The sequence below is a fragment of the Homo sapiens genome, chromosome 2 (assembly GCF_000001405.40).
Source record: "Homo sapiens chromosome 2, GRCh38.p14 Primary Assembly".
Lineage (NCBI taxonomy): Eukaryota > Metazoa > Chordata > Mammalia > Primates > Hominidae > Homo > Homo sapiens.
The window spans coordinates 184584978-184607488 of NC_000002.12; the positions used below are offsets into that span (position 1 = coordinate 184584978).

General features: G+C 35.3%; 1 protein-coding gene and 1 long non-coding RNA gene across 2 annotated transcripts in view, besides 2 other annotated features; one reads left to right on the plus strand and one right to left on the minus strand.

Moving 5' to 3' along the window:
• On the minus strand, nt 8650–14021 carry LOC105373780 (proline-rich protein 18-like). Its single transcript, NR_171621.1, has 3 exons — nt 13820–14021; nt 13291–13743; nt 8650–11399 (listed from the first exon to the last, which is right to left on the minus strand). It is a non-coding gene; the product is annotated as a proline-rich protein 18-like (long non-coding RNA).
• Nucleotides 13315–13434: a silencer, noted in NCBI's record as "silent region_12164". NCBI's record gives its function as "represses an Ori minimal core promoter by ATAC-STARR-seq in GM12878 lymphoblastoid cells {active_cell/tissue: GM12878}" and the evidence as "EXISTENCE:reporter gene assay evidence [ECO:0000049][PMID:35858748]".
• ZNF804A (zinc finger protein 804A) overlaps nt 13552–22511 on the plus strand; it is a 340964-nt gene continuing 332004 nt past the window's right edge. Inside the window, exon 1 of the mRNA NM_194250.2 lies at nt 13552–14093. Coding sequence (NP_919226.1) covers nt 13983–14093 — 111 coding nt within the window. The 5' untranslated portion in view covers nt 13552–13982. The remainder of the gene's footprint in view (nt 14094–22511) is intronic.
• Nucleotides 13615–13774: a silencer, noted in NCBI's record as "silent region_12165". NCBI's record gives its function as "represses an Ori minimal core promoter by ATAC-STARR-seq in GM12878 lymphoblastoid cells {active_cell/tissue: GM12878}" and the evidence as "EXISTENCE:reporter gene assay evidence [ECO:0000049][PMID:35858748]".

The following is a 22511-nucleotide window of genomic DNA, read 5'->3' on the forward strand; positions in this document are numbered from 1 at the left end:
GCTGTGCATACCGAAGTTTCTCAAAATGTAGTCCACACACTAGAGAGTAGCAGCCTCAGCATCCCCTGGGAACTTGTTAGAAATGCAAATTATGAATTCTTACCTAGGACATACTGAATGAGAAACTCGGGTTGGAGTACAAAAATTTCTGTGATTTTTTTTTTATTTTTAACTTTTATTTTACATTCAGGAGTACATGTGCATATTTGTTATACATTTAAACTCATGTCATGGGTTTTTTGTACAGATTATCTAATCACCAGGGTATTAAGTCTAGTAACCAATAGTTATTTTTTCTGTTCCTCTACCTTTTCCCAACCTCTGCCCTGCAGTAAACCACAGTGTTTGCTGTTTCCTTCTTCGTGTTCATGAGTACTCATTATTTAGCTCCCACTTATAAGTGAGAACATGCAGTATTTGGTTTTCTGTTCCTTCATTAGTTTCCTAAGGATAATGATTTCCAGCTTCATCCACGTTCCCACAAAAGACATGATATTATTCTTTTTTATGGCTGAATAATATTCCATGGTGTATATGTACCACAGTTTCTTTATCTAATCTGTCGTTGATGGGCATTTAGGTTGATTCAATGTCTTTGCTATTGCAAATAGTTTAGCAATGAACATTCACATGCATGTGCCTTTATGGTTGAATAACCTATATTCTTCTGGGTATATATGCAGTAATGGGATTTCTGGGTCAAATTGTAGTTCTGTTTTTTAGCTCTTTGAGAAATTGCCATAATGTGTTCCACAATGGTTGAACTAATTTACTCCCCCATCAACAGTGTATATGTTCCCTTTTCTCCACAAGCTTCCCAGCATCTGTTACTTTTTGACTTTTTAATGATAGCCATCATGACTGCTGTGGGATGGTATCCCACTGTGGTTTTGATTTGCATTTCTCTAATGATCAGTAATGTTGAGCATTTTTTATGTGTTTGCTGGCTGTATGCATGTCTCCTTTTGAAAAGTGTCTGTTTGTTTCCTTTGCCCACTTTTATTGGGGTTGTTGGTTTTTCTCTTGCAAATGTATTTAAGTTCATTATGAATGCTGGATATTAAACCTTTGTCAGATGCATAGTTTGCAAATATTTCCTCCCATTCTGTAGGTTGTCTCAAAAGTTTGTGTTTTGAAAGTCATCCAGTTGATTTGATGCAGACTGAAGTTTGAAAACCTGTACTTTACTGCTTTGAGTACAGCTTATAGTCTCAGCAATGAGGCTATGATTTAAAGATTAAAACAAATTAATGCAAAGATTACTGAGCCTTAGTTAATGCTAAACATTGATCATTAAAATCAAGGCAAAAGTTTCATACAGAATAGAATACTTCAGCTCTACGTACTGGATTTTTGTGTCTTTTGTTTTTGTTGTTGTTGTTGACTTACAATTAAGGTTGAGCTATGAGAATGAGAACTCTTCATAATGGGGCTTGCAATCAAAGATAAGCAGAGTTAATACATATCTCTGTCACAAAATAAATCCCAGTCAAAATGGTATCTCTAAAATCAAATAAGGAATATTAGAATATGGGATGGGTCCAGTGGCTTACTCCTGTAATCCAAGCACTTTGGGTGGCCAAGGCCACAGAATCTTTTGAGCCTAGGAGTTCAAGGCCAGCCTGAAAAGCATAGCAAGACCTGTCTCTACAAATAATAATAATAAAAATAATAAAAAAATAATAAAAAAATAGCTGGACATGGTGGCATGTACATCGGTTCTCAGCTGCTCAGGAGGCTGAGGTGGGAGGGTCACTTAAGCCCAGGTAGTCACGACTGTCGTGTTCACACCATTGCACTCCAGTCTGAGCAGCAGAGTAAGCCCTTGTCTCAATATACATACATATATATATATATATATATATACACACACACACACACACACACACACATATATTTATATATACATATGTATTTTTGGAATATAAGTTTTCAAGACTTAAGGCCCATTGCTGCGTGTTAGTTACTATAATCAAAGAGGGAAGACGAATGAGTGCATTGTTTTCTATTAGTCAGTCATGATACCCACACATTAGGATGAATAGTCACAATGATGCTGCTGCTTTTCTTTCCTTTCTTTTCCAATGAACACAAAGAATCTTCCTTGAGAAACATGTTTTTAAAGTGTATTTTAATATCACCACCTTGAAGTAAGTTAGTTTGTTGGGAAGGAGGTAAATTAATTTTTGTCTATGGTACTAAAAGTTTAAACTCAGAGTTGTAATGTATTAAATGCAGACTAATTATAGAAAAGCTAAGTTTATGTGGAATAATTAAGTTATGAGGGTAAAATACAGTTGAATATCAATGTGTAACAGTTTACATTGGGGTTTTCTGGCCTCATTTCCCTGACATTCAACAACATTTGAAGGTCAAATTTTATGGATTTATTAGAGTTGTAAGAGTTATGTTGAAAGTAATTACTCATATGGGCCAGGCGCGGTGGCTCACGCCTGTAATCCCAGCACTTAGGGAGGCCCAGGCTGGCGGATCACAAGGTCAGGAGATCGAGACCATCCTGACTAACACAGTGAAACCCAGTCTCTACTAAAAATACAAAAAATTAGCCGGGCGTGGTGGCGGGCACCTGTGGACCCAGCTACTGGGGAGGCTGAGGCAGGAGAATGGCGTGAACCCAGGAGGCGGAGCTTGCAGTGAGCTGAGATCGTGCCACTGCACCATTGCACTCCAGCCTGGGCGATAGAGTGAGACTCCATCTCAAAAAAAAAAAAAAAAAAAAAAGAAAAAAAAAAAGAAAGTAATTACTCATATATTTCCTCCTCATCTCCAAATTTCTTTTTAAATTTCTTTTAGTCAAATACTACATTCTGATTTTTGTGTTTCTGGTGTATGTAACATCATTGAAACGTTGTCAGCAGCATGTATAATATATGGGCAAAAGAATGAAAAAAAAATCAGTCCCTCACAAATATATATCCCTAAAATAAAATGTCCCATCACTTTAGAAACTTTATTAGTGTTGCCTACCAATATTAATTCTCTTTTATTTCTTTAAAATGCATTTGTTGAATTTCAGGTGGATACACAGCCAAACACTACACACCCAAGCCTCCTGTTGCAGCTTTGGGTGGCTATATGTCAAGGTTATAGCTAATTAAAATATGAGCGGAGAACTGTCCCATGTAACTTCACAGCTTTTCTTTACAAGAGACTTTCTCTTGAAGAGCGATGCCCTCTACTTTCTCTTATCACCGTTGTATTAGCCACAACATGTACACAATGATGGAGACAAGAGCAACCATCCTAGATTACAAGATGGAAGCCATACATTGAGCATGGCAGAACGCCAAGATCCTGGGTCACTGACACCATTTGGACTCCCTATCGTGTACCCTGACTGGCATGGATAAGTAAAATAAGCTATTTCCTTAAGCTTTTGTTGTCTGGAAGTATTTTTAGAGAATCTGATATTGATTTTCACTGATGTACTAGGGGAGCCTAATTTCCTTCATGTTGTATTGTTTATGAATACAGAGGCAGGATATTTGTTGAACTGGAATTAAAATAAAAAGGTAAATCATGGGGGAAAGTATTGCTATAATGTGTTTGCGTTTTCAAACATTTGCTCCAATTTCTTGTAACTCAGCCAGTCAACAATAATTACTGAGCACATTCTAAAGACTGAGTACACTTCAAGGCCCCGGGGAATGCAACGATGGGCAAACCAGCCAAGGCCACTACCTTTAAAATGCCTTCATTTGTGTTGGGGTGCTAAAATAAATAAACGGATAAAATTAAAAATGATTGTATTTATTAAATTCATTGAATGCATTCTAAATAAGTCAATTTAAATAGGCATAAATATTTCTGAATTTCTTTGAAAAGACCAGTATTATTATAGTCTCCACTGAAAATTATTAAGAAATATTCTCATTTGAGATTTTATGACACCCTCCTCCACTCAATCTCCTCATCCTCCTCTCAAAATTATCCAAGTTAATGTTGACAGTGTTAACGACTGTTAAGTGTTTGTTGCATATCTAGTCTTTCTTTCTTCTATGATTTTCAATATCCATCTGCTTATGTGTTGAAGAATACATATCCTTATTTATACCAAAATGAGATGATACTGTAGTAATTGGTCTTGATATCCTTAGATGAAAATTCTTATTATTTATTTATTATTTTTTGAAATGGGGGTCTTGCTCTGTTGCCCAGGATGGTCTTAAACTCCTGCGCTTCAGTAATCCGCCTATCTCAGCTTCTCAAATTCCTGGGATTATAGGTGTGAGCCATAGGAACCCAGCCAAAATCCTTCTTAATACAGACATATGTATGTTTTAACAATTTATCTCTGGTATACCATTGTATAAATGTACAGTAATTTCTACTATTTTTCACAGTATATAATGGTATTTGTCAAATTTTAGATATTACAAACTGTCTGCAGGGAGCATGTCTATGCTCATATTTTTATCTTTTCATGATATTATTTCTGTGTCATAGTTTGTGAGAAGTAAAATTGCTGAGTCATGGGATATGTGCTTTTTAAAAATGTTTCATAAAATCAAGTTACTTTTCAAAAATTATTATCAATTTATGCCACCACTAGTCTTAAAAATCCAGCATATAATATTTTTGTTTGGACAATGTAATAGAAAAAATAAGGGATCAACAACAACTCATGTTTATTGGCTATTCATATTACTTTTTAAATTTTTTCTTTATAGATTTTTACTTGTTTTCCCCAAACATTTTGCTTTATGCATTTTTATGTTATGTTGTTTGTTTGTTGTGGAAATACTTTTGACTGTTATGTTTTCATCACTGATTGTACTCTTCAGTGTTTTTAAATATTACTTGATATTGGTAGAAATGTAAATATTACAGTTTTCTTTGTGTTTGTATTTAATTCTGCTATCTTTCCCATTTGTTTACTTCTAACTATTCTGTCAGCATAGATTTAGTAATATCTTTTGTTAGATTTCCCAAACTGAATATCTCCTTTTATGGAATAATTAAATTATTTCCATTCATTTTGATAACACATATGCTTGTCATATACCTATTTTTTTCAATTTTTACTAGTTTTTATATTTTTACTATTTCTTATATTCTCATCAATTTTTGCTAGATCAAATCAATTTAACTTATTATTTTCCTAGATTTTTATAATTAATATTTTTTCTTTATGTAAAGAAAAATTATCACATACAATATGAACATATGCTGAAAATATTTGAGAAAAACAATTAACCTTAATTTTACTCTTGAGAGGTTTAACTATAAATATTTTGTTACAATGCTTTTTTGTATAATTTTATTTTTATTGATTTATTTAAGATTCAGAGGTATGTGGGCAGGTTTGTTACATGGGTATATTACATAATGTTGACGTTTAGGGTAGAAATGATACCATTACTCAGGTACTGAGCAAAGAATCCCAAAGGTACTTTTTCAACAATTCCTTTTTCCCTCCCTTACCCCTTTAGTAGTCCTCAATGTCTATTGTTGCCATCTTTATTTTCATGAGTACTAAATGTTTAGCATCTACTATAAAGTGAGAACATACAGTATTTGGTTTTCTGTTCCTGCGCATTAATTCGCTTAGGATAATGGCCTCCAGTTGCATCCATGTTGCTACAAAGGACATGATTTTGTTCTTTTTTATGGTTGTGTAGTACGCCATGATGTATATGTATAACATTTCCTTATCCAATCCACTGTAGATGGGTACCTAGGTTGATTTCATGTCTTTGATATTATAAAAATAGTGCTGTGATGAACATATGAGTGCATGGGTATTTTTGGTAGAATGATTTGTTTTCTTTTGGATATATACACAGTAATGGTATTGCTGGCTTGAATGCTAGTTCTGTTTAAAGTTCTCAGAGAAATCTCCAAACTGTTTTTCATAGTGGCTGAACTAATTTGCATTTCCACCAACAGTGTATAAGTATTCTATTTTCTCAGCAGCCTTGCCAGAATTTGTTGTTACAATATTTTAATGTCAATTTTTTTCTTTGTGTATATTATTTGTGTACGTACCTATGCATGTGAGGGGGTGTTTTTGTGTATATACAAATTCAATCTTATATCCTGTCACTTTTGTAACATTTTCTTCATGATGATTTTCTCATGCCACTAAAATAGCATAAATGTTATATGTTGTTGTATATTTTTATTTAATGTTTATGATTTTATATCAGATATAATTTTTAATATATTACTTCCAATAATATATCTTGTGTATTATTTGAATTGTTTAAATTTTTTCATTGTTTAAATATTATCACTCATGCTGTTCATCTATCATACGTAATAGATAAACAAATATCTTTTTTCTTCCTCAATATTTATAACTAGAATTCAGAATCCTCATGAAAGAGTTAAAGATTATATATTATAGATGAAATCAGTTACATTAATCCAATTCTTACTAAATTTATATGAGGAATTTTATTATAAAGATTCAAAGGTGTCATATATAAATAAAATATTAAACCAAGTAGATCTTAAGAATATATCTTTAGGGACATTCTCCATTCTTGACCTCTCTAGAATAATACATTATAGAAATAATGCCCATCAGTTCTTCCTGAGCTTCTTAGAGTTCAGGTACAAAAAACATTATTGGTCAGCCCTAAAACTTAGCATGAGCCTCTTGGGCTTGTTTGGTTTAGGAGTATTCCATGGATAAATTAATTTTGGTAGGCAATTGGGTGATCTAACAGACAAAGCTACATCGATAGTGGAATGGAAGTGGAATTTATGACACACAGATACATATTTCCACATTTATTTTTAGGAATATTATACTACCAAATATTGCCATCTGAATTTTGCAAGGCACCCGTTTCATGTTACCAAATAAACATATAAAAGTATTTGTTAAAACTGCCATGAGGTTACAGGAAGATGGCATCCATCTGCAAACCAGGAAGAGGACTTTCATCAGAATCTGAATGAGCTGGCACCTTGATCTTGGACTTTCCAGCCCTCAGAACCATAGGAATAAATTTCTATTGCTTAAGACATTCAGTAATGGTATATTTATTACAGTATTTTAAAATGACTAAGACAAATATATTTTATGTTAATGAAATCTATGTAGTTTTAATTAATATTTATCTTGTTCTAAGTCAACATGACCATACATAAATTTGAAACCTCAGTGGAAATTCCCACATCTTCTTATCAGAAAGGGGTATGGTAGAGAAGAGAACAGTTTGAGTATATACAAAAGTTGTGTTATGGAACAGTATTGTGTCTTAACTTCCTATACTTTTCTTAAATCTGGCCACATCTGTACTACATAGAGAACTATTTCTACAAAATTTCTCTCATATGAATAGCACAGATGCCTGATTACTCAACTGTGCTGCAGAATTTAGTTTTTGTAAATTATATGCAGTCTTGTTAGTATATTCTAGATATTACTTTGTTAAAGTCACCAATGACCTTCAAGATGGCCAAATTGAGATCATTTATTCATCTCATTTTTCTTAAAAGCTATCAGTAGCATTCCTCACAGTTGGTTACTCTTTCCTTAAAACTAACTTTTTGCATTGGAAGGAAGGATTTATGAGGCATCTTATTTTCTTGGCTTTACAATCTTCTCCCAGGAGCTTGTTTTCTATCTCCCTTTTTAGCTGTTGCTTCTCAGGTCACCCCTGATCTGTCCTGGGGCTCTTTATCTATCTGTATAAGCTCTCACATGATCTCATGCAGTCCTTGCTTATAAATGGCATTGATATGCCAGTGGCTCCCAAATCGGTTCTGATCCTGACTCCATATTTTATACCTGCACATCTCACTATCTCTATTTGTATATCCAAAATGAATCCAAATTTTATAAACAATTTCCTCAATCTGTCCCTCCTCCCCATCTTTACTTAACATCTTAGACCAATTACTTTCATTTCAGTATCTTCTTAATATTCTCCCTGAGTTTACATATCTCCTAGAATCAGTTCTTTACATCCTAACTAGAGCGGTATTTGTATCTTCCTCCCTCCCACCAATGCTTCCTTTTTCCCTTTGTTTTTAACCCAGAAACAATATGTGTCTGTAGGTGCCTGCTTGTCACCTTTATCTTCCCCCATACCATCTTTCTCCTTCTCTTCTAGTTCTTTCTTCTCCCACTTACCGGACACTAAGAAACTCATGATGACAAAATACATGCACCCTTACCTTATTAATATCTGTTTATTCTTTCACAAAAATGTACACTTGTTCTTGTTTTTATACAAAACTAAATCCTAATCTACTCTCTTGTTTGTAATATACATTTTTATATAATAAAACAACTAGAAAATCCTACCTAATCAATGTGTATAAACTTTATTATTTTAATAGGTATATGAAAGTCTGTGAAATATATCATAATATATCATAATTATGATATACACCATAATTTATGCAACTATTTCATTATTGAAAATGACTTTCTTTGTTTCCAGCTTTTTTATAATTATAATGTTAAGCTAAGAATGTTACCTTAATGTTACATTAAGTGTTCTTGTAAATATCAGTTTATACTGGTAATTTTACTCTACGTAACAAGTCCCAGGAATGCAATGGCTAGATATAAGGTTAGCTGTAATTTTAATTTTAATAGATATTACAAAATTTCATTCAAAAAAGGGAATAAAACACAGGAATGTAGTTATTGTTCATCTTTTCTTCTTTACTCATAATAATATATCTTAAATTTATTCCTTTTGGTAAATTAATTACATGTCATCCAATTGCATTAATTTTTTTGGCAACATATTAGAAATGTAGCTTTGGCTTTCCAGTTTGCATTGTTTTGGCATTTATCCCAAGGCTACTTATTAGAATTAAAAAGTAAGGGGCAAAAATGCTTGAAAAATATAAATATCACCTAAATATTTTTTACAGCCTAACAAGTGCTCTATCATTCTTTTAAGATGTAAAAAGTTGCATAATTAAATTAGTTTATCTACTTATTAAGGTTGAATCCAGAAAAATTATGAAATTTCTCTCTAATCCTTTTTACATTTGTATCAATTTCCACATTTCCACAATTTCTACAGTTATACCAGCTATTCAAGAGACACATCTTCAAGTGGGGAGCTAAGTTGGTATTCTGTTCTGCCAGGCATAATCAACATCAGCTCTAGGCAAGTTGCCAGAGAATCAGATAATTAAGCTTGAAAAAACATAAGATAATATCTTGCTTATTCCCTTTCTTTCAAAGGTTAAATAAGTGAAGTTAAGGGAGTCTGAATAATTATTTGCCCAATATTCAAAAGTTGTTTTAGTTGAAGGTGCCTTACAGTGGTTTGTAATAAGGTGTTAATTGTGATAGAATCCACACAAATATAGGTTTCACACTTCCTTGATTAGAAGATGCCTTTCTGTTTGTAACATCTTTATATATGTCTTATAATCAGTGACAATTTATTGATCCTTGCTTTTAACAGGACCATATTTCAACTCAGCCGAATTTGAATACAGAAACAGGGTTATGATCATGGAGCTACTTTTAGGAAATTATTATCTAATAATTACCTTAAAATTTTAACCATCACCCATAAAATAATACAATTGCATTATCATCTTCAGGTAATATCAGTTTTGGTATTCAATATATATCCCATGACTAGTATAGATCAGCGTTTCTCATACTAAATATCATATAGACATTTTCTTAAATATTCTCTTGAATACACTAAGTTCACTTGAGGCATAATTTTACTTAAATATGTTAACATCAAACTAATTATACAACCCCATATGCTTATAGCTCTTATGTAAACACAAACCAAAAAAAAAGAAATCAAATGAAAATACAACAGGCAAAATATCCAAATTTCCCAACTTAATTTAATACAACAGATGATGTTGCTTTGCTGAAATCAAATCCTATCTCAAACATGAATTTGTTTATGAGTGTTTGTGTGTCAACGCTAATCTCCACATGCCTGAAGTTTACAATGACTATGAGTGCACTATGGTGATGCTGTTCCTCTACCACTTTTTCCAATTTAACTATGTAGCACCTTCATTTATGCAGCATGCCATCATATCGCTTGGCATTAACTTAGAGTGAACAATCGAGTGTTAAATTTTTATTATTCACAAATAATAAAAGCAGTAGTGTTGGGCACCAATGTGATAATAAACATGAATGTAAACCAAAGTGATAAATAGTGGCAACACTAAGTTCCAAATTATCCAGCTGTATGGTTATACAGATGATAAAAATATGCTTAAGATTATTACAGTAATGAAAAGGAAAATTTTGAATCCCAAAATATACTCAGTGATGACTATGAATACGTCCCAGACACATATGAAAAGTGGTGGAATACATATTTGCTTTGTATGTTATTTCAGGATGACATAAGATTAAAAACTTGGTTCACAAAAGCCCAGGTAAGCCTGAATTGCTGGAACCCAGAAGTCAATCTAATTTGTGGATTTTTTCAGTTGAGTGATGGGAAGTTATTCAGACATAGTAAAAGCATCCAAAGATTTTTATGACATGAAGTAGCGAGTCCAGTGGAAAGGCATGTGGAGGTAGTAACATATAGTGTTAAACATCAGTAGGTAAACTCAGGAAAGATTTACCTACTCCTGGAAGAGCTGGACTGAATGAATCTGGAAAGGGATTTAGAACTCAGAGGTCTAGCCGCTGGTGTAGGAAAGGAGCAAGACCTTGGTTTCACATGTCAAGGTGACAACACTGTCCTGAAATTTTGTGTGAGCCAGAAGCAGATGAGGAACAACGCTGAGCAGAAACCTATTATCCAAATTTGAGTTAAGCAAAGCAAGATAAGTGGGATAAATCAGTATAAGAGCAAAACTTAAAGAATCTTGATTTGAATTGCAGTTGTAAATGGCGAATTGAAGGGGCAATTGCAGTTGCAAAAAGGGCAAAATTGAAGTGAAGTTGTAGCAAAAATGAACTGCAAGTTTTTAGACTAATGACACTTCTTTATTTACATTTTTAATTATAAGTTGTTCGGCTAGAACATTGCCAACTGAACACAAATAATCTGTAATTATTCCATAAAATATTTGAAATATTTTCTAAACAAGAAATGATTCTGCATATTTATAATAAGCAGGTATATATTTAACCTCATACATTAAACCTATTGTCCAAATTACTGAGATATTTTTATTTTTTAAATTAGGGTGACTCGGTTCCCCAGAAACATTTCATTCCAAAATCTTTACCAGTAGTCTTGCAAAATAAAAATTGATTTAAATAATAGGAATAATAGGAAGGATATAACAAGTGCTTGCAACACAAAGGCAAATTTAAAGATACACTGATACATACATATATGCAAACTTTGCCACTAGAAGCACAGTGTGACATTCCACGTAGACTATATTCTGTTCCATGGGATGAGTCATATATCAGTGTTTCCCATTTCCTGAACTGGATATTGAGCTTTATCCTGTAGATGAAAATTTTAGAATTTCATTAGACGTATTTTGATAGAAAAATATTGCAAAAAACCTCCTAAATTACATTATTATAAATTAAAAAAAAATAACCTACATCATCTGGTCCTTTCACACATGGTGCTTCTTCTACTTCCCTACAAGCTTCCTTGGTATAGCTTATTAATACTAACAATGTTATCTCCTTTCTAATAACTAACTTTGGAAAGTTTACAAACCTTCCAAAGACATACTAGAAATCATACAGGTTATTAGTTCTTTCCAAAGTTGACGTGTCCAGAGAATGCCTGCATTTTCAAAATGTAAACATAAAACAATATTTTTACGATAGCTGGAAATGGATTTAATTTCCATGCAATATTTAGTGTAGATCAATTACATGTTTTTCCTCTGATAGAACTGTGTTCATACTGAATTCTAACAAATTATTGGGTGATCTGTTCCACAGAGTACAGAAGTTTTGCAAATTCTCGCTTTCTCCCGAGACTTGCAGACTCCCCCAAGTGGATATCTGAAAAATTTAGCCAAGTGCCTCTAAACAACTCTGACCCTTCATAATGAGCTTTGATCAAACCATACCAACTTTTTTTTCCCCTTTGTTTGAACTGAAGCATAATACAGGAAGAATGACTATGTAAATGTGGTAACTTCCCCTTTCTACCATCTATGAGTTATAATTTACTCACACTACTATTGACTCTCTTTCTTCTCTTTTTTCCCTCTTTCAAAAAGTGAAATCAAACTGTCGGATTTATTTAAGGAGCTTATTATGGATTGCAGGGCCACTGCTACATAAAATCCTACATATGAGACACACAGAGTGGAATGTATTGCAATCTCGATTCTCAAATAAACAAGTTTCCCAAATAAACACAGTTTATATCAAAGTGCAGTTTGTTCTGACATAGGGGCATCAGAATGTCTGGAATCTGCTTTAACCAATTAAGCCTTTCAAGGCAAAGGAAAAATAAAGCCTTCAGTAAATCCATTGAAGGTACCATCTCCCAGCCTCCCACTGCCTGTTATCGATCTTTTTAAGTGCCGACTGATGAATCGTATATATATCTGATGGGATGCTCTCACTCCACCACCTCAGAGGGGCTAAACTTACACAAAGAGAGAATCAACTGGGTGGGAGGCAGGGTGGGAGGGCACAGCCGGGCTGATGGCTGCCTTGGACCCTTGAAAACCAACCAGAAAGTCTGTCTCCAGGGAATGCTGCAGACCCGGTTCCCTACTTTCCGTGACAAACCCATTAGTTCGTGTGCAGATTTTTCCATTCAGGTCGCTTCTAGGGCGAACGCTTTTGTTCGCTACCACTCTGTAGTGCGAGAGGAACTAGAGAGGCATGTAAAGCAAGCTTGAGGCAGCAGCGCCTTTGCCGCAAAGCATCCCTTTCCCCTCAGCTTTAGCAATTTAGGAAGAACTGAGGTTCTCAGGGGAGGTGGGGTGAGAGGATTGCCAGGAGGAGGGACATATAAATCAGGAGTCCCTGCTTTTACCCTCTACTCACTTGTACTCGCATCGCCACAACTACCCTCCCCCGAAACTATCATCAACACAAGCACTTACGGTATCTACAAATGTGTGGGAGCAGGGGTGGGTGGGGGGCATATTTTCTTTCCTCGCCTTTCCCTAAGACTGAACAGGGTACCAGCCTCCATACCAAACACACATTAAATAACAAAATCAAATAAGCCAAACCCAGTGGATAGCAATTATCTTGAGAAAGAAGCCGCTGCTGGCACCGGCCTGGATTCGCTGCAGTCGGAAGCGGGTGGCTTTCGGTATTGAATTATTAATTTATTTATCCCCCTCGCCCCCACCCCCACGCCGACTGCCAGGCAAGAAATCGCGGCCTCTTCGCTTCCTCTCCGCCCCCACCTTCCAGGAGTCTCCCACTTGGCGGTGGCCGTCGCGTCCCCGGCCCTCTGCGGCAGCGGCGCCGCGCGGGGCGCTCCCACTCGCGCTCGGGCTGGCGCGGCCGCGGGTCCCGGCGGCGGGGTGGGCGGGGGAGGCAGCGGGTGACAGATGTACTCCTCTGACAGCTCTCAGTATCAGCCCAGTGGCTCCCTGCCATTGGCTCAGTGCAATGGACCGGCAACGCCGCTCACTATAATAACACTCATGCCTGCCAGCAGCAGCAACTCCGAGTGCAGGCGCCGAGCGCGGGGGATGCTGCCGCCGCCGCCGCTTCTGCTGCCGCGCGGGCGGCTCCCGCAGCCCCGCTCCGCCCGGCCACCGCGCGGGCACTGACTCCCGCTCGGTTCCGTTTCGCCGGCCCGGCCCCCTCCTAGGCTGGAATCCTCCCGCGGGGCTCGTCGTCCCGACGCGAATCTGAGGAGAAACAGGAGCGAGAGACTGAGGGGAGAGCGCGGCGAGCATGCGGAGGCGGGGGAGCCTCGGCGCTCACCACAGAGGGGTGCAGTGAGCCAGTCTCCAGAGGACGTGCCGGGGGTGGCTGCGTGCCCTCGTGGCGGGTTCCCAGCCCACCGTCGCCGGCCCCGGCGCGCTGCGGCTGTGGGCGCGGGGTGCGTGGAAGCGGCGGCTGCGGCGGAGGAGGCGGCGGCTGCCCCATGGAGTGTTACTACATTGTCATCAGCTCCACGCATCTCAGCAACGGACACTTTCGCAACATCAAGGGAGTTTTCCGGGGCCCTCTCAGCAAGAACGGGAACAAAACTCTGGTAATCGCTTCTGTTTTCCTCTCTCTCTCTCTCATATTTAAGAGGGCATTTGGAAGATTGAGTTTTTGGAGGTTTTGAGATTCAGTTTGGTTTATAATTTACTCATTTTTTTATCTGGTGGGCGTGGGGTGAGAATTGGGTGTAGAAAAAGGAAGGGGTCTTAGGGAAGCTGTGATCCATGGCTTTGGTTGACACTTCCACAATGCTCTGGACTATCTCACCTCACTCCATTAAGCTGAAGATTACCACAGTCTCTCCTTATTTGAAGCAAATGTGTCAACAGGACCTGTTTAAAGAGAAAAGAAAAGAACTCTAACCCCAAGTTACCCCATAACCTCTTTTGTTTGGCTTAGGAGGCTGAAGGTGAATGAGGATGTGGCTGTCTCTGATGGAGGCAGGGAACCATGTGGCTGGTCACAAGGAGGAAGTGGCGGGATTGAGTGATGGTCTCAGAAAGAGTTTGTATTCCAGCTCTTTCCTGAAGGACTGATAGCAAACTTCTCCAGTGAGAAGTTGTCTGTGCTAAGCTTAAGAGAGTGACTCTAGAACCTTATGCTGTCCACTTTCAGCTATTCACTGTAAAGTGGTGGCGGATATGTGTGAAACACTATCACTATGTCACCATTAGAGCCACTAGGGAAAACGTGAGGCAGATAGAACCCATGCAGTTGCTGGAAGGTTCTCACTGGATCACAGAGCTTCATTTTTCAGGATCCTAGTCGGAAGAGCACTCCTGATTGGTGGGAGAAGATGTACTGAGCATTGAGATAGTGCAGGATGATTGCTCCTACTTCTCATCCAAATCCCCCTTTAGCTATAAAACCTCCCTGCAGAACTGACTTTCATGTATTGGTATGTTTGGAGAACTATACACCTCCATAAAGTAAAAAAGGAAGTAGAATAAAGGCTCATTAGGCTTAGTACTGCAAAGAGTAAAGACAAAGTAGGGTGGCAATATGAAAATGTATGATTCACTGAAGTCCATGTTTATTAGCAAGCAGCCTCCCTTCCCCTTTCTTACACAGTGGTAACTTAGCCTGAATGAGGAGAGTAGAAGTTTAAGGACAGACTCAAATAGTCCAAAAATAAATATAGCGTTCTTGATCGAATTTTCTTTATGTATCTTAAAATATGTTTCTTTATGAATAAAGAAAATATGCTGTGATGTGTGTTTTCCAAGAATGAAAAGTTCTCATCTAAAGTTTTACGTAAATTCTTGATGCATTTAATTTCATTCTTTTTACTTGAATCTCTTGGCTACTTGCTTTCAGCCCACTTAAGACTCACAAAAGCAGGGCTAGTTTGTTTCTTTTATTGATTTTGTGGATGTGGTTGTTGGTTGTTGTTGAACAAAAGAAAGTGAAAATACTCTTCTGCAGTCTTCTTTAGTAGAGTAGCACAAAGAGCAGTAGCCAAAGGCTAAAGGAGTTATTGAAATTGTTCTGGCCCCACTTAGAGAAGTAAAAAAGGAAGGTAAAATTTTGGGGGAAAAACTTTCAGTCTGAAGAAAGTACACACTGTTTTTTCAATTAAATTTAACTTACGGTTAAAGGCAAACTTAATGCACAAGATTTCATTTCCATATTTACAATAATGGTGTAGGTGATAAAATGCATAGTGGGGTTTATAGAAAAAAAAAGTTATTTTCCAAACCTCAACTTGTTAAAATTCTATAGGTCTTGATTCTCAAGTTAATCTTAGGTTCTAACAATAGTTGAATTTGCTTATGCTGATGTGTTTGTTGTGTGTTTGGAGTTGGTTCATTCTTCATGACTTACATTTGCAAAAGGTAGGTTAAAGTCTAGATTTACCATTGTAACCTTGTGAGTAAATTGGGTTCTAAAAAACAGCTATGTAAATGAGATGAATAAACCTAAATATAGACAAACATCAGAAAGAACAAACAAGGATAAAATGGCTTTGAAATAACTCCATAATTATCTTAGTTATCATGAAAGAGACTTTAGGCACTTCTGAGCTAGTCCTTCCAGATGATTTTAAAACGGCCCAAGTTTGTATTTCCTGTGTATGAGATTTGCACTGACTGAAAAGAAGTAAATTTTCATATATGATGTGAATATATTTGAAACTACTGCTTTACAAGATAATATATTCATCTACTATATGTGCTTTCTAGCCTTCTCATGAGTATTATTATGGAAAATGATGAGATTTATGCCTGTCTTTAAGTATAACAGAAAATATTCTAGATCTATTCATAAATGAATGATTTCAATTTTAAAAAGAGCTGTCTATACTCACCCCAAAGTGATTCTTTATAGCACATAGGATGCTATGAGCACTTACATATATGCTAAAACATACTGTCACTTAGAAATAGGAAACTGGATCTGAAACTTCTAAAAATTAGCAACTCAATAAGAAATACAAACATCATCTTAGAAGGTATATATGCCACATTCTATAAATTTTCAAGTAAGAATTTATGCTTATCATGGTTTTACAGTTTTATTTTTTATTTTTTAAATTGACAGATAAACTTGTGTTTATCGTGTACAATGATTTTAATCCCAGTTTTATGGAGTAATAATTATGATATCTTTCCAACTTTATATTTTATTTTAATATATTTGAATTTTGCCATTAAAAATCATCACATTTTTGTATTTTGAATCGTGTACCAAGTTCTAAGGATTTTAATAATATCGCAAATGTTTTTTTTCTTACTTCGGGGAAGTGCAACTTTAAACATAAAATTACTCAGTGAAAAGGTACTTTGATTACTGCAAGACCTTTTAGTTAGTTTCTGTCAATAGATACTTAATGGCTATTTGAGAATTTTTAAAATTCAAATTTAGAAAATAATTTTATAATCTTCAAAAAAATCACAGGATTAATTTAAGTTAGCCTGTAACTGTTAATACAGTCTTCTTTTATGAATTAGATGTTACTTATAGGATAACCAGGGTAATTCATATTTTAGTGCCAGTGATTAATTGCTTTAATCCTAAATCCAGAACGTTATCCTGCCATTCATATTGAGAAGATAGTCAAAATATATAGTCCCTTCTATAGGTCATATTATACCACCCAAACATAAAATTTTGGAAAATAAAACAACAACATTCTTGAAGACTAAGCCTCTTGTTAATGTTGACCCTATTTATGAGCTTTTAAATATATTCCTTTTGCCAATTCTAATGAAAAACATATAAATTTTCATTTTGCAATGTCTTACAAGCAAAAAGAAAGGTCAACCTATTTATCATGATTTCTGTTAAAAGCTGCAACATAACTGTGATATAGTTTTAATTTCATAGAACAAGAAATAAGTGAATATTTAGTAGTTCTCCAGAACATTTCTGGATAAGTTATAGGGCTTAACAGAAAAGAATAAAGTTTATCTTCCATCTAATCTCATTCTTTTTATTTAGATTTTCCCAGTTAATCATTGTGTAAGCAATTGCTTACTGAATGAAGACATTTGGTACATCCTTTTTGGAATTGATTTACAAAGTTTGTCTTAATTATATATTTAAATAAATACAGAATATTTCTGTATACTACATATTTAACATGGAATTTAAATATCCCTTTAATCACTTTAATATGTAATTTGGGATTTGTCTTGGGAAACTTGGAAATCATTACTAATTTGTTCATTACATTCTATTATTTGGTCAGCATTTTAGTATCTCATAATAACATTATATCTATTTCACTGACTATAGAATTCAAAAGAATCAGTGATAGTTTTGAGGTCACACAATGAGTCAATATTATCAAGCAGATTTCCTGACTCCAGACATATTTCCTTTATAATTTATATGCTAAATTATGGAATATCTAGGGATCATTATGATAATATGATTAAGAGATGGTATTGTGTTATCTGTTTGGTCGAAGGCACTTTATTTTTCCAATTGTCTACAGATGTGGATAAGTAGTGCCAGATTCACAGAATAATTTGATTAAATTTGTTTTACTACTCATCCTCCACATGCAAATATCACTCATTTCTGTCGGACCTAAATGCCTTGTTTCTGTAGGCTGCCCTGCATTTCTAATATATGAAATACTATGTTCCGCAAGAAAAGAACTGCTAATTTACTAATCGGTTCACAAAATATTTGTTATTTAGTTCATTCAAATTTATCGAGGTGCCTCAATTACAAAGCACTGTTCTAGGCACCACAGGCTCTGTATTAGGCACTAAATAATACATGCTAAGGAGCATTTTGGGCTGCTCTTGCTCATTTTGAATCTGTTAAAAAATATATTCACATCTTTTGACATGTTTGTAGGTTTCTTGTCACTCAGGACGTTGTCATGTGTGTTAATTTTGAAAAACCTGAAAAAATTCTGTGTTATTTCCCTTGTGTATATAGGAACACACTAAAATTTGGCAGGCTTTTGAAACACTATTTGGCCTTTTGTTTTAGTTTTCATTATTGAATATAACTTATTTTTCATATAATTCCTTTGAACATTTTCTAAATCTCTTGGAGAATGTAATTTAAAAGGCTTCTCTTCTCATCGAAACCCATTTAGGTGGCACTTTAAGAGTGTGCATGTAAGACTAAAGAGATCAATTGGTGAATTGGTGCTGCTGGAAAAGTTATTATTTTTAGGTTAATGTCCTCAAGAGAGCTCAGGGGTGAGGGTGGATTAGGGTGATATCCTAAAATATCTTCATACCTTCCCACTTTATAAACTTCTTCACACAAGCAGTCCAATTATATATTCTTCCAAATTTCATTTAAACTCTTATATATTCAATATTAAAGACCATCTTGTGTTTCAATTTTCTGAACTTAAGGTGTCATATATTCTTGCTCTGTTGGTTTTGAATTCTAGTGAAACTTTACTACATGTCCTTTTTCAGAACACATTATTCTAGTATCGAAAATAACTGATATTTGAATTAGTGTTATAACACAAACATGCAAGCAGTATTTTAAGGCAAATGTCAAATAATATTCATGATTACCACATACTTTTGTTAATTCATTAAATATTGAGTTATGTTAGATAGCTGCAATTTGAATAGCGATATAATGTCTTGACTTCTCACTTCTGCACCAATAGTTTCAGGTTATGGATGACTGCAATTACTTTTTTTTTTTTTTTTTTTTTTTTTTTTTTTTTTTTTTTTTGAGACGGAGTCTGGCTCTTTTTGCCCAGGCTGGAGTGCAATGGCGCCATCTCGGCTCACTGCAAGCTCCGCCTCCCGGGTTCACGCCATTCTCCTGCCTCAGCCTCCCGAGTAGCTGGGACTACAGGTGCCCGCCATCGCGCCCGGCTAATTTTTTTTTGTATTTTTAGTAGAGACGAGGTTTCACCGTGTTAGCCAGGATGGTCTCGATCTCCTGACCTCATGATCCGCCAGCCTCAGCCTCCCAAATTGCTGGGATTACAGGCGTGAGCCACCGCGCTCGGCCACATTTTTAATGAAAATACAGATCAGCGAGAATTTCAGGGATGACCTAGTCTAGAGGTTAATGGAATTATATTCAGGGCCAAATTCAGGCTGCCAAATTAGTTTGTTTAATGTGCACAGTGTTTTAAAATACTTGGGTTGAAATGAAGTTGGAAGAAGACACTTCTCCGTTTTCCACTGTCTACGCTACATTCTGTTGCTATGTAGGCTATTCATTTACTTAGGTTACTTTCCTGACCATTGAAGGCACTTCAGTGTTCCATACCTTGCTTAGTTCGAGGACCGAAGTTTACCTATGTGGAGACAGAAATATTTCTATCGTTATATTTTATTCTGTAGTACCTGTTTGCCACATATTGCTTGAACTGAATTAACAGTATTCTCCAAGTCAAATATCTAGGATCTCTATCATAATAAGAAATATACAGGGATTTCAGAGTGATAAATTTTTGCATTTTAAAATTGCAAACTTTTACTTAGGCTACTGGTGTTTTTGGTATTTTGCTGTTGTTTTTGACCTCAAAAAACTAATTTAGAATGTAATTTTATTCTTTAATATATACTTATATAAACATGTTACTTTTATATACCATATTTGGGAAATGGTTTATTAAAAGTATTATACATAGTGTAAATCATATTTAAATACTTGTAGTAATGATATGGCATTGAAATAGTTTCCTATCGTGTCCATTTAACTGAGATAGTACTGTTGAAGCGACTTGCTGTTAGGAGTTTGAGTAATCCTACCAAAAAAAGATAGCAGTTATAATCTATGGTGTACTGCAACAAAAATTTATGAAGAAATTACTTATATCTGTTTATCACATTTTTATATTGCTAACCACAATAATAAATATAATTGTGTTAGTTTCTCTTCCTAAAAATTTTAACCTAAACCATTTGATCTGTTTTATCTCATTCTAAATTATCTACTGTATCTGAGAAAATGTTACAATACATAGTAGGACCTTCATATCCATGGGTTCTCATTCATGGATTCAACCACTGTGGATATTTTGAGTATCTCAAATACTCAAAAAAGAAAAAAAGCACATTGTATTTGTACTTAACTTGTACAAACTTTTTTTTCTTGCCATTATTCCCTAAATAATACAGTATAACAACAGTTTATATAGTATTTACATTTTACTGGGCATTAGAAGTAATCTAATCTCCAGAAAATTTAAAGAATAAGGGAGGATGTGTATAGACTATATGTAAATACTACACCATTTATGTAAGGGACTTGAGAATCTGTAGATTTTGATATATATCCTAGGGGGATCTTAGAACCACTTCCCCATGGATATGCAGAGATAACTGTGTACTGTATTATGATAGTGTCTTCAAGTAGCCATGATTCATTAATTTTATAAATGTATTATAGTACACTTCCTATTACAGTATAAGATTAAGTGGAGTAATAAATAATTAAAATTCAATCATGGTTGTCAAAGTAAACAAAATCCATTACCTGAGGTATTACTCTGAATTCTTTCATAATGGTTTAGCACCATTGGAAGAAAGTTATATACTTTTCTAAATGTAAGTACATTTAATATACTGACTGTTTATGAGGTCAATGGTGTGTTCAAATTATAAGAAAACAGTTTTTCTTAAATAGTATTAGGAAAATTACCTGTATTAAACATGATGGCTAGTTTTATGTGTCACCTACAATAGTAGCATATTAGTCAATTCTCACACTGCTAAAAAGATATTACCCAAGACCAGGTAATTTATAAAGGAAAGAGGTTTAATTGACTCACATTTCCACGTGGCTGGGGAGGCCTCAGAAAACTTACAATCATGGTGGATGGTGAGGGAGAAGCAAGGACCTTCTTCCCATGGTGGCAGGAGAGAGAAGTGCAAACAGGGGAAATGCCAGATGCGTATACAATTATCAGATCTAGTGAGAGCTCACTTACTATCACGAGAACAGCATGGGGGAAACTGCCCCTATGATCCAGTCACTTCCCTCCCTCAACACCTGGGGATTACAATTCAAGATGAGATTTGGGTGGGGACACAGAGCCAAATCATATCACGTAGCCAGTTATTTAATCAAATTCTAATGTAGGTATTGCTATGAAGGTATTTTGTAGAAACACATAATGTGGACAACCAGTTGACACTTTAAGTAAAGGAGATTACTCTTGATGATGTGGTTTGGCCTGATAACCAGCTGAAAAATCTAAGAGCAAAAACTGAGCCTTTCTGGAGAAAAAATTCTACCTGAAAACTTCTGTAACAACTCCTACCTGAGTTTCCAGCCTGTAGGACCTGCCTTCACATTTAAGATTTACCAGCTCCTGCAATCACTGAGTCAGTTTGTTAAAATAAATCATAGGTGTGTCTACACACACACACACACACACACATACACACACACACACATATCATATTGTTCCTATGTTTCTGGAGACCCTTAACTGATACAGTGAAAATCAGTTTATAATATTTCTTTTATAATGAGCTAACTAAATGTTTGAAATGTAAATCTCACTTGGATTTAATAGGAAATAGATGCATTGATGTTGATAACTATATAGGTTTAAAATTGATAGAGCTGATTGTGAAATTTTTCTGCTATTTTATATACAGGTTTACAATAACTTTATCTGAAATGTTTGCCTGGATTACAATTTCTCTCTCTCAATCAACACACCTCAAGCATCTAAAACAACCTCTATGTAAAATGGAGTTATTCTTATCTGTTCAACCCCAACAGCTTACCACACATGTTTATTGTACTTGAAGAAAGTCAAGCTCTCTCTAAATTAGATAAAATATTGTATTAGTCTATTCTCATGCTGCTATAAGGACATAATTGAGACTAGGTAATTATAAAGGAAAAAGGTTTAATTGACTCACAGTTCTGCATATCTGAGGAGGCCTCAGAAAACTTACAATCATGGCAGAAGGGGAAGCAAACACACCCTTCTTCACATGATGGTGTGAAGGAGAAGTGCCGAGTGAAGGCCCTTATAAAAGGCCTTTATAAGAGAGAAAAG